The following is a 12,620-nucleotide window of genomic DNA, read 5'->3' as shown; positions in this document are numbered from 1 at the left end:
GTATCAGCTAGCTCTTTTTGTTTTTATGCAAAATGTTACATCTCAAGTCCTTTCCCTTTTTCTTTTCCCTTCCCTTCTAGAGGAAATTATCATCCTCATATAGGTAGTATTCACATACATGTTTTGTATCTTCATTATATTTTTGTAACTGTCTTTTGATATTATTTTGTGTTTTAAAAAATGAGCGTAAATGTACTACATGTATATTACTAATTTTTTTTTTTTTTTTAAGAGAGGGTCTTATTGTGTTGGTCAGGCTGGAGTATAGTGGCTATTCACAGGCAAGATCATGGTACACTGTAGCTTTAAACTCCTGTGCTCAAGCAATCCTCCTGCCTTAGCCTCCCGTGTAGCTGCGACTATAGGCACATACCATTGTGCCTGGCCACTAACATTTTGGAATCCTATTTTGTGTTTTCTGATTTCCATAATTTATTTTTTTTCTATTTCATGAAATTATGTTCTTTATTCTTCTTTTCCATCTGTTTTCTTGATTTCTTCGGGTATTAATCCTCTAATTTGCTGTGTCTGCTTACTCACTTATGATGAGTAGTTTCGTGTCTTTTGTGAATGGTTTTATTTTGAACTTATGCTTGCAGATTCTTGCATCACATGAGTAAAGTGAAATTGTAATCTGATCTTACATATAGTACAGACTTGGACTTTTACTTTTTCATAGGAGATTTTATTCTTATCCTCCACAGAACCATAGTTCCAGGGAGAGAAGAGAGTCTTTAGTCTCCCTGGGCCTATGGTGAGGTGTTTCTAGTTCTTTCAATGACCTGGTGCAGTCATTTGAGCATCCTGGCCTTTGCAGGAGTCTCACTTCCAACTCCTGTCCTCTCTTTGGTTCAGTAGCTCATTTCCTATCTCGTGTGCTAAGTCCTGTTTTGAGTTCTTATCTCTCTCTTTACCCTGTGCCCAATTCTAGCTTTCAGTGACTTTTTCATTTCTAGTACTTGGAAATTTATCTTTCTTTCTTGTGAGTTTAACTCTATGCTAGAATTTGTTTTTGTTACAGTTGAGCCAGAGTTCCTAGGTAGTTAGAGCAGAAAGGGTTGGTATAAGTGTACTCTGCTCTGTGATTGGTATGCTAGATGTCTGTTACCTGGGAAGTACATAACATTTATACCTTTGAACACATCACTGTGTTTTTTGGAAATAGAGAAATATATATGGTCAAATTTCAGCTACCAAATAGTAACTTTGGGTTTTGGGTTTGCTAATATTCAAATTTTATATTCTAATGGAAAAAAATCTGTGTCTCTCTCTATAAGTATATGTGCTATTTGTCTGCATATATGTGGTTTTCATGATTAGATTTTAAGCTAACTAATGTGTTGTGATTTCAGCCCGGCACCTTTTTTGCTCCCTGATGGACTGGTTCGCTTGGTTAATAAACAGATAAACTGGCATTTGGTACTTGCAAGGTAAGGAAGTGTGAAATTCAATGTTTTTCTGTCTGGATTAGCTTTTACATTTCATTATGGACGTTAATTTTGGAATGCTTGTGGCTTTCAGTCTTGATTTTTATTGTGTGTAAATTTCTTTGTTGCAAATATTTAGTATTGTTTAAACTTTTTAGAGAGAGAGGGAAAGAGAGAGAGGGAGAGAGAGAGGGAGAGAGGGAGGGAGGGAGAGAGGAAGAGGGAGAGAGGGAGAGAGAGAGGGAGAGAGGGAGGGAGGGAGAGAGGGAGGGAGGGAGAGAGAGAAAGAGGGAGGGAGGTAAAGAGAAGGAGAGGGAGAGAGAGTGGGAGGGAGCGAGGGGGAGAGAGGGAGAGAGATGGGGAGAGTGGGGGAGAGAGAGCTTAAACATGTTAATTCATGCTGTATTAAATCATTTTGTGTGCTTTTGTACCTGTATCCTCATCTAATTGTAAGGTCAAAAGATGGATAATTAAAGCATGTGAACAAATTTAAAAATGATTTTTAACTTATTAAATAATTCCATCTGTGCTGAAAACTGCTATAGATATTCATAATAGATTTTCTTCCCCCTCTTTCTTCTCCATAAAAGCAATGGAAAGCTTTTGGCTGCTGTTCAAGATCAGTGTGTGGAAATCAGGTAATTGTTAATATTATTCATATTCAAGATTTCCTTTGAGAAATATTTGTTACTCTATAAATGGAAACTAAGATTTTTATAGGGGATATATTTAAAAGGATTTTATTATTAACTCACTTAATTTTGTGAGTGTCAAACACCAACTTACGCCAGTTAAAAAATTAAGGATGCTTTCTCAGAGTTATATGCTTATCTTTCTCCTTCCCCAGATCATTCCGTTGCCTCTTAAGAAGTTTTACTTTCTCAGTAAATGAGGCCTATCCTCCAGAACTCTGGAAATCACTGTTGTGTGACTATTTACTGCTATATTAGCTAAACAGAAACTCAGGAAGGTGTAAAAGAGTAGGGATGGTTCAGCACTTTGGGAGGCCGAGGCGGGCAGATCACAAGGTCAAGAGATTGAGACCATCCTGGCCAACGTGGTGAAACCCCGTCTCTACTGAAAATACAAAAATTAGCTGGGCATGGTGGCGCACACCTGTAATCCCAGCTATTCGGGAGGCTGAGGCAGGAGAACTGCTTGAACCTGGGAGGCAGTGAGCTGAGAACTAGTTGCAGTGAGCCGAGATTGTGCCACTGCACTCCAGCCTGGCGACAGAGCGAGACTCTGTCTCAAAAAAAAAAAAAAAAAATAGGTATGCTTTTTCTCTGTTGGTACAAAACTGTAGATGGAATATGAGTGTGCAAATGACCTAGGTTACGTATTACTTGAGACCAATTATGCTGTCTGTCCTCTTGAGACATTCAGTGGTATTATATACACATCTAAAAGACATCTCTAAGCTGGACTTTTCAGGTGTTTTATTTTTAAACAGTATATCAGTTATGAAAGAAATAGCAACAATAGCAACTGAGAAAAATGAGTTCATTCTTTGGGAAATGTTATTAGGAAAATCATATGGAAGAGGAATATATTTACTGTTCATTAAGTGGAAGTGGACCATTACAAAGGTCTTCATTATCGTCATCTTCACATGGAGTGGGCTGAGGAGGAGGAGGAGGAAGAGAAGGTGGTCTTGCCATCTCAGAGTGGTAGAGGTAGAAGAAAATCCACATAGACATGGACCTGCATAGTTGAAACCTGTGTTGTTCAAGGGTCGACTATAGTAATTCCATAATATTTCATTGGGTGCACATAGCAAAGTTTAATCTCTTTATACTGGGTATTATTTTTCTCCTTTATAAATGAGACCATACCAGTTTTTTTGATATCTGTATGTATCTGTAATTATTTCCTGGGGATAACTTTATAGAAATAGAATTGTTAGGTCAAATGCTACAGACATGAAGGTTTTGGATAATTGTTATTAAATTATTTTCTAGAAGGTTTACCAGTTTTCATTTTTAAACATATTTTATAATAATTATTCTACTTGGTATATATTTCAGGATCACAGATTTAAAATAGGTTGTTGATTTAAATATGGTGACCTATTAAGGCTGTTTGATTTCTCAAAATAAGACTTTTTCCCCTAAGTGATCAAACTTTGTAATATGATACAGACCAGTGGTTCTTAATTAGGAATGATGTATCCAGCAAAAAAATATTTTTGCTTGGGCCCCATCCCACATTTCTTGATTCAGAACCTTTGGGGATGGGGACCAGACATCTCTATTGTATGAAAAGACCACGGTAAATTCACTTAGGCTGTGTCACTATATTCCATATATATGTCTCCATAACGATGTAGCTCCGTATCTGATGCAATAAGGTTGGAAGAAAATATTGTCACTGACAAAAGGGTCATAATTGAGCCACAAAACCATGTCTGAGAGGAGATATGATTGAGCATTGTATATAGAGGCTGTCTAGTCCACAGTATCTGGTATTTTATGGTTCTATACAGTGTTACGATAAAACTTTTGCCTTGATTTTGCATGTTTTACAGGTCTGCAAAAGATGATTTTACATCCATTATTGGGAAATGTCAAGGTAAGAGTTTCCAAAATATTTAAAGAATGAAAATTTCAAATGCGCAATGGTTTCCAATGTTTCTTAAAAGTTAGAATAGATATTAAATATTTATTAACAAGGATTATCATGACTATTAAAATAATTTTTAAAAACTGCTTTTTTTTTTTTTTACTGTCTTAAATATTTTGCTTTAAAATGGTTCATTTTAGTGAGATTTGGAAACTGGGTTCTAAAAAAGTCTAAGCCAGTTATGGGATGAAGTATTTTTAACTGTAGCCTTTTATTTTGGATTAAATGCAGAAATAAATAGGTATAAGTCAAGAGTTAGATACAGACTAGTAAGAAGTCTAGGATTTGGCCATTTTTTAAATATATTCAGCAAAAATTTACTGACTGTAATTTACGTGTATGTGCTGTTTTGCTGGTTGCTTGAGGAATGATTGTGAGCAAAAAGACCTGCTCCTTTATCTCATGAAGCATATAGATGCTCAAATATATAATTACAAACTTTGACAAATCTAATTAAGGAAAAATTAAATCCCATGAGATTTCTTAATCGGGGGTGTCAGATGAGATGGCTGAGAAAGAAAAATGACTTTTGGAAAGCAGCTTTAAGAAAGAGTAGTCTGGACGCAGTGGCTCTCACCTGTAATCCCAGCACTTTGGGAGGCCGAGGTGGGCGGATCACTTGAGGTCAGGAGTTTGAGACGAGCCTGGCCAACATGGTGAAACCCCGTCTCTACTAAAAATACAAAAATTACCCAGGCATGATGACACATGCCTGTAATTCCAGCTACTTGGGAGGCCGAGGCAGGAGAATCACTTGAACCTGGGAGATGGAGTTTACAGTGAGCCGAGATTGAGCCACTGGACTCCAGCATGGACAACAGAGTGAGACTCCGTCTCAAAAAAAAAAAAAGAAAAGACAGAAAGAAGGAACCTTACAGGAGAAAAAAAGGGTGGTATTAGGTAAATGCATCTATTACCTATGTTTTATTTACAGGACCTACAGTTCCATCTGTCTGATCTTGTGTTAGTTTAACAGTGTAATTGTTGTAGGAAGTATAATAATGGTAAACATGGTCATTGTGTTGATGACAAACATTTATAGTGTTCTTACTGTGTGCCTGGCACTGTATTTAGGGCTTTACATGATTTTCTTGTGTAATGGAAATAAAGCAGTATAAATATTTTATCTTAAAACAGTATTAGGATAAAATATGTATTTGACATCAATAGAGAGCAAGGAGGTGGGAGGCACTGGTAGTTTTCAGAGCTACAATGTGGTAATACAGAAGATTCCCCCACTCCCTCATGGAAATGCTGTTCTTTTTTTATTTTTATTTTTTGAGATAGGGCCTCACTCTGTTGCCAGGCCGGAGTGCAGTGGTGTGATCATGGTTTACTGCAGCCTGACCTCATGGGCTCAAGTGATCTTCCTGCCTCAGCCTCCTGAGTAGCTGGGACCACAGGCATGCACCAGCATGCCTGGCTAACTTTTTATTATTTTAAAATTTTTTGTAGAGACGAGGGTCTTGCCTTGTTGCCCAGGCTAGCCTCAAACTCCTGGGCTCAAGCAGTTCTCCTGCCTCAGCCTCCCAAAGTGCTGGGATTATAGGTGTGAGCCACTGTGCCCAGCCTTTGAGAGAGAGATAACAGATAATGACTGTACTTGTACTTAAGTGCCATGATGGAGAAGAATCACCTTTAACTTAATTTTACCAAGCCCTGGGAGCCTGTTTATTTATTTATATAGTAATTTTATTTATTTATTTATTTTTTTGAGACAGGGTCTCAGTCTTTCGCTCAGGCTGGAGTTCAGTGGCATGATCATGGCTCACTGCAGACTCAACCTCCTGGGCTCAGGTGATCCTCCCATCTACGTTTCCCAGGTGGCTGGGGCTACAGGTGCGTGTCACCATGCCCAGCTAATTTTTTTGTGTTTTTTACAGATACAGGGGTTTGCCACGTTGCCCAGCCTGGTGCACTCATGGGCTCAAGTGATCCTCCCGCCTTGGCCTCCCAAAGTGCTGACATTACAGGCATGAGCCACTGTGCTCAGCCTGTTTAAATAGCTCTTTTATTCCACTTGTGTACTTCCACCATCACAGCCTTAGTTCAGGCTCTTAACATTTTTTACTTGGTTTCTTACAACAGTCTGCTGACAAAGTTTTCTTCTGTATGCCCTCTAGTAATCCACACTTTATACTCCTTGGCAAATTGATCATTAAAAAAACACTATTCTAGCAGGTAACCCTTCACATCTGACTTAACTGCTTTCTAGATTTCTGGTAACCTCGGGCAAGTTACCTCTCTGAGCCCCAGTTTCATTATCTGTAAAATGGGCATAATTTTATAAATTGAGTTGTGGAAAGATTATATGAATTAATGTATGTAAAACTCTCGGCATAGTGTCTGACACATCATGAATACTTAGGAGATGTTAAGCTATTGTTATAATTACTGTTACTATAATTCTACCTGAAATCTGTCAGTTGTTTGCTATTGACTGGAATACAGTTCATTTTTTCTAATTTACGATAAAAGACTTTTCGCAATCAGCCTGTCTATCCCGTGAGAGTCTCCTGCTATATGTCTTATGTTCTAGTACAAAACAGTGTGCAATTTTCTAACCCCATTGTGTTCTTCATGCCTTCACGTACAGATGGTTCCTTTTCTCGGAAGCTCCTACCTTTGTATTGAATTAATTAGTCTTGTATATTTTAGATCAAGCATCGGCTCTCCTCCCTGTGTTCGCTCCCACCATTTGTACATCTTCATGTTTCCCATCTAGTTGCTTCTGCCTATATCACAGCACTTACTTAGCCTGCTTTCCTTTTTTATTGATTTAATTTATATATATTTTTTGAGATGAAGTCTTGCTCTGTTGCGCAGGCTGGAGTGCAGTGGTGCGATCTCAGCTCACTGCACCCTCTGCCTCCCAGGTTCATGTGATTCTCCTGCCTCAGCCTCCTGAAGTAGCTGGGATTACAGGTGCGTGCCATCACACCCGGCATTTTTTTGTATTTTTGATAGAGATGCGGTTTCACTATGTTGGCCAGGCTGGTCTTGAACTCCTGACCTCAGGTGATCCACCTGCCTCAGCCTCCCAAAGTGCTGGGATTACAGGCATGAGCCACTGTGCCTTGCCTGATTTCTTTTTTAATTGTTGATTTGCTTGTCGGATTCCCAATTAGATTGTAAATTATTTGATGGCAGGGGCCATATCTCACCCAATATAACTTTTTTTTTTCGTGCTTAGCACGGTGCCTGACACATCGTAGGCACACAATTTTTGACCGTATCAAGTGGGTAATGGCACTTGGGAACTATTCAAATGATTTTTATGGATGAATGAATATACCAACAAAGTATGTTTGCCTGTTTCTTGTTTAACTTTAGAAATTCACAAAAGTGTACATGTATTTATTATATATAATACTGTCTATATTATACATATTATAGAGATCCATGTATAAATTTGTGGAAAACTGTCATGGCATTAATATTTTTTATTCCTTATGTATACATGTATACACATAGCATGAATAGAGCAATAAGGGTGGATAAGAAGACCTGTTTGCCTAATCCTTTTGGGGAGGTAGTGTTTAAGTATGAATATCTAAAGCTTGGGGCTCTAGCCCTTTTTGAATATACCTTCTGTAGTTTCCTCACCAGTGCTTTAGAGTAGACCAGGCCTTGCTTAAATAATATGTAAAGGTCAAGAAGTTGCCAGAAGAATAATTTGGTGGGTATTCAATTGCCTTTTTCCCAGTGCAGCCCTTTCACTGGGTGAGAGCTTGGGGGGCCTAAGATAGGTTTCTGAGGAGCGTGCTTAGAGTGTTGGAGTGATTCAGATATACAGGGTTCTTTTGAGCTTCGGCATTAGATACCTGCTCCTAGCCAGTAGGTAAATCGAGAAATCTACAAATTAACATGAACATGGGAAGCTTTACCCTTCTGTATTTTATACAAATTATAATATTTGTCAGAGTTTTTAGTGTGTATGGTTAATGTGGCAGCAAGGATAAGAAAATAATGCTTTGAGAGCTAATGTTTTATTTTGTTGGCTTCTGTGTGTGTGAATTTATGACCTTAATACTGCATTAATGGCTTCTTTCCATTTCACATAATGTGAGGTAATGATCATTTGCTTGTTATCTGACTCATCTTTATGGGAATAACTCCCATATGCCAAATGATATTTCATGTGTGTGCCTGCAGAAAAGGAGCCAGATTGTTGTTAATGCATTTTTGAAACTACATATTGCAGAGTCTACAAACTGAAATAGGAGCTATTTGGTTCTACTCTGATATTTTTCAATTATTGTTTTATAAAATACATGCCATTCGAGAATGTTTTAAATGTGGATTGTAACTTGTTTTGGCTCTGTTAGGCCATAAATAGGAATTCAGTTTTCTCTTTCTACCTGAATAATGAACTAAAAATAGCACACGAAATTAGAGTTTTTAAAAAGAGTTGTACTATGGTAGTCAACAGATTTTTTCATAGTTTTGATTTTGGGATACCATAAATGCGAGTTTCCTAACTGTACGCAACAGCTTGCCTACTATAGGTATGGTAAGGTCCCATCAGCCCTCCAGTGGCTGGGTGGGCACTCTGACAGCTTGAACTTCTCCTGGTTGCCTCTGGCTTCCAGCAGCCTCATCAGTTTACTGTTAGATGCCATACAAATATGATTTTCTCTGTGTGTTGACATGAAAAAGGTTGGGAAGGATAGACTATTTGAAACACCCAGACTTGTTTTTTTTGTTTTGTTTTCAGACGGAGTCTGGCTCTGTCACTGAGGCTGGAGTGCAGTGGCGCCATCTAGGCTCACTGCAACCTCCACCTCCCGAGTTCAAGTGATTCTCCTGCCTCAGACTCCAAGTAGCTGGGATTATAGGCACCTGCCACCATGCCCAGCTAATTTTTGTGTTTTTAGTAGAGTCGGGGTTTCACCATGTTGGTCAGGCTGGTCTCGAAATCCTGACATCAAATGATCCACCTGCCTTGGTCTCCCAAAGTGCTGGGCTTACAGGCGTGAGCCACCATGCCCGACTGAAACACCCAGACTTTGAAATGAAGCATTTTGTTCCAGAATTGTGATTCAGGATCCTCAGATTATATGATAACCATTTGCCCTTTTTTGGGAAGTTTAGATGAAGTAATTTTTTCCTATTGAAAACATAATACACATTCTTCGTAGAAACTTTAGAAACTAAAAGTGAGAAAAAAGAAAAGAAAAATAAGCTCACCACCAAGAGATAAATACTATCAACATTTTATTTATTGTTTCAGACATTTTCCTGTACCTGTTACTGTAGATATGTTCTATGAAAATAAGTGTTTTGTGATCTGATTTCTTCACTTAAAGATAGGTTGTTAAAAAAGAGTAATTTTTAGGTTGAAGTTTAAGAAGCACTTTCCAGAGTTATCTTTTTTGATCATTTCTACTGAATAGCGTCTTAGGTGTTAGGACATAGGTCTCCCAGCTATCCAGACAATCCAGGAAATGCTTATAAACTTGATCTCTGAGCAGCAAGCCACTAGATATTGTATTTGATTCCACCAGCAAGGGAAAATCATCATCAGGCATTTATGCAGATAATTGTGTAAAACATAGCAGATTATTGCATCTGCGTTCATGAAGGATATTGGTATTTAGATTGCTCTTTTGTAACATCTTCCTGGTTTGGTATTGGAGTAGTGCTGGTTTGAAAAGGGTTGGCAAGTGTTCCCTCCTTTTTTATTTTCTGAAACAATTTGTGTAGAATTGAATTATTTCTTCCTTAAATGTTTGATGGAATTCACCAGTGAAACTTGGAGTTTTCTTGTAAGCAGTCTTTTAATTAACCAATTTTAAATCTTGAGTTTAGTTAAAATACTAGTAATTAATAAGGCTTTTTAAAATTTTGGTTTCCTTTTATTTCAGTTTTTGTGGAATTTTTCCCTAAATTGTAGAAATTATTGGCTTAATGTTTATAATATTCCCTATTACCCTTCTGTCTGTAGGATCTGTACTGACGTCCCCTGTATCGGTTTTGAGATTTGTACTTGGTATTTTTCCCTTTTCTCTTAAATCAGTCAGGCCAGAGTTTTGTCCATTTGTTAATATTCTTCAAGAAAAAATTTTGGGTTTTATGGATTTCTTTTTTTGCTTACCTTGATTTTTGCCCTTATTAATAGTTCCTTTCTTCTGCATACAGGATTTAATTTGCTCTCATTGTTATAGATGGAAGGTGGAAATTTAGATTACTGAATTTAAACTTTTTTCATATATAAATTAAGCCTATTCTAATATAAGCATCTTTTTGTTAATTACGTCTAATTTAATTCTTTTGTTGCCAGAGAACATAAACAACATGATTTTAACCTTTTTCATTTATTGAGGCTTGATTTATGGCCTAGCATATATTCTGTCTTCATGAATGTTTCACATTTAAAAGAATTTGGTTCTTGGGTATAGCGCGGGTATTGGATATATTTTTTTTTTTGCCAGCCAGAGTCTTGCTCTATCACCTAGGCTGGAGTGCAGTGACACGATCTTGGCTCACTGCGACCTCCACCTCCTGGGTTCAAGCAGTTCTCATGCTTCAGCCTCCTAAGCAGCTGGGATCACAGGCGTGCACCACAATACCCAGCTAAGTTTTGTATTTTTTAGTAGAGATAGGATTTCACCATTTTGGACAGGATGGTCTCGAACTCCTGACCTCGTTATCCACCCGCCTTGGCCTCTCAAAGTGCTGGGATTACAGGCATGAGCCCTGAGCCTGGCTCTTTCAGCTCTTTAAAGATGTCATTGTTTTGTTTTTGACAAGAAATTGGGAGTCATTGCTATTGTTTTCTTGGATAGAAGGTGTGTTTCTTTCTTCTGTCTACTTTAAAATTTTCTCTTTATTATTGTTTGTCAGACATTGATTATCATGTGCCTTGATAGCTTTTGAGTTTATCCTGCTTTAAGTTCATTAAGCTTCTAGATAAGCAGTTTTGTAGATTTCTTCAAATTTGCAAAGTTTATGCCTATTGTTTTTATCCAATTGATTTTAAATTTGTTGTGGCATCTTTTCCCATAGAGAATTCCCTCCCTCCCTTCTTCCCTTCCTCCCTTCCCTGCTTCCCTCTTTCCCGCCTTCCTTCCTCCCTCCCTTCACCATTTGTCACTTTTTTTCTTTATAAAGTCAGAGTTTCTTATATTTAGGCCTTTCTTATTGTAGAATTGTTAAGGTTTTTCTCTTGTGTTCTTCTGGCGACACTATTAACATTTACATATTTGGCTTCTCTGATGTCTTTCCACTCCCACTAGTTTGCCCTTGCTCACTGGTTCTTGACTTGACTTGGAAGTAAAGAATGTATATATATGAGAGATTGTTCATTGAATTCACTATGAAAATGAGGAAACTGAGACCATACCCAGGGTCATACCCAGGTGTCTTGTGGTAGCACTGAGACAAGAACCCAGTGTTTATTATTTTTAAATCCTTGCTCATTTCCATTGCTAGTTTGGGTAAATGGGCACTGGATTGAAGTCTGCTCCTTGAGAATTTGGGTGTTTGTTATGTCCCACCAGAGTACTAGGCACTGGTCATAAACATTATGAACAAAATAGACACAGCTCCTGACATTTTGGAATTTATAGATTAACAAATAAGGCAGACAATAAAATGTCTGACAAATGATACGATTTGGCTCTGTGTCCCCACCCAAATCTCATCTTGATTTGTACTCCCATAACTCCCACGTGTTGCGGGAGGGACCCAGTAGGAGATGATTGAATCATGGGTGGCAGTTTCACCCATATTGTTCTTGTGATAGTGAATAAGTCTCACGAGATCTGATGGTTTTATCGGGGGTTTCTGCTTTTGCATCTTCCTCATTCTCTTTGCCTGAGGCCATCCATGCACGATGGGTCTTGCTCCTCCTTGCCTTCCACCATGATTGTGAGGCTTCCCTAACCACATGGAACTGTAAATTCAATTAAACCTCTTTCTTTTGTAAATTGCCCAGTCTCAGATATGTCTTATCAACAGCATGAAAACGGACTGATATAACAAACAAATGTATGATTATTTGGCGTAAGAGCTGTGAAGGACATGAAATCATTGGACTGGTGGAAAATAATGGGGCTCAGAGGCTACTTAGGGTGGTCACAGAATGCCTTCTAAGGAAGTGCTATTTAAAGTGAAGCTTGAAAGATGAAAAAAAGCCAGTGGAGTGTTAGGGAAAGAATGTTCCAGGCAGAGAAAATAGCATCCACAAAAGCTGTGAGATGGGAAAGAGCTTGGCAACCGGGCAGATTTGAGGAGCTACAGCTGATGAAAATATGAGTCGGGGGGTATAGACTTGATTTCACCATGCATGTGTCAGTTGTCAATTTGCTGGTTAACTTTTACCATCAGTGTTTCTTGCATACTTTTCAGACAACTTCATTGACTCTTGCTTTGTAAAAATCTGTACTGTTCATTCCTTTCCCAAGCCACACGAGCAACTGGAAAAATCCAGTGATAAAGTCTTTATTTTCACATTGTTATATGAAATCTTACCTTGTAATGAAAAAATATTTTTATCTAGGTCAAAACACCTGCTGAGTTTTCTGGAGTTACTGGTTGTAACTAGCATATAAAAGCAAATCCCTTGCA

At 38.0% G+C, this 12,620-nt stretch overlaps 1 protein-coding gene across 9 annotated transcripts in view; it reads left to right on the top strand.

Moving 5' to 3' along the window:
* The window catches only part of NBAS (NBAS subunit of NRZ tethering complex), a 782,426-nt gene that overhangs the window by 5,844 nt on the left and 763,962 nt on the right, over positions 1-12,620 (top strand). For 8 of the 9 annotated variants that reach the window (XR_007076390.1, NR_052013.3, XM_017004317.2 and 5 more), the window contains exons 4-6: positions 1,353-1,430; positions 2,018-2,065; positions 3,955-3,998. Coding sequence is in view for 7 of the 9 variants with exons in the window: in XM_017004317.2 (XP_016859806.1) it covers positions 1,353-1,430; positions 2,018-2,065; positions 3,955-3,998 (170 nt within the window). In the remaining 2 variants the exon portion in view is untranslated. Of the gene's footprint in view, positions 1-1,352; positions 1,431-2,017; positions 2,066-3,954; positions 3,999-12,620 lie in introns of those variants that run through there. The other variant, XM_047444735.1, reaches the window with a different exon arrangement.

The sequence above is a fragment of the Homo sapiens genome, chromosome 2 (assembly GCF_000001405.40).
Source record: "Homo sapiens chromosome 2, GRCh38.p14 Primary Assembly".
Lineage (NCBI taxonomy): Eukaryota > Metazoa > Chordata > Mammalia > Primates > Hominidae > Homo > Homo sapiens.
Note: the sequence above shows the minus strand (reverse complement) of the source record. Positions and strands in the feature narration are given on the sequence as shown.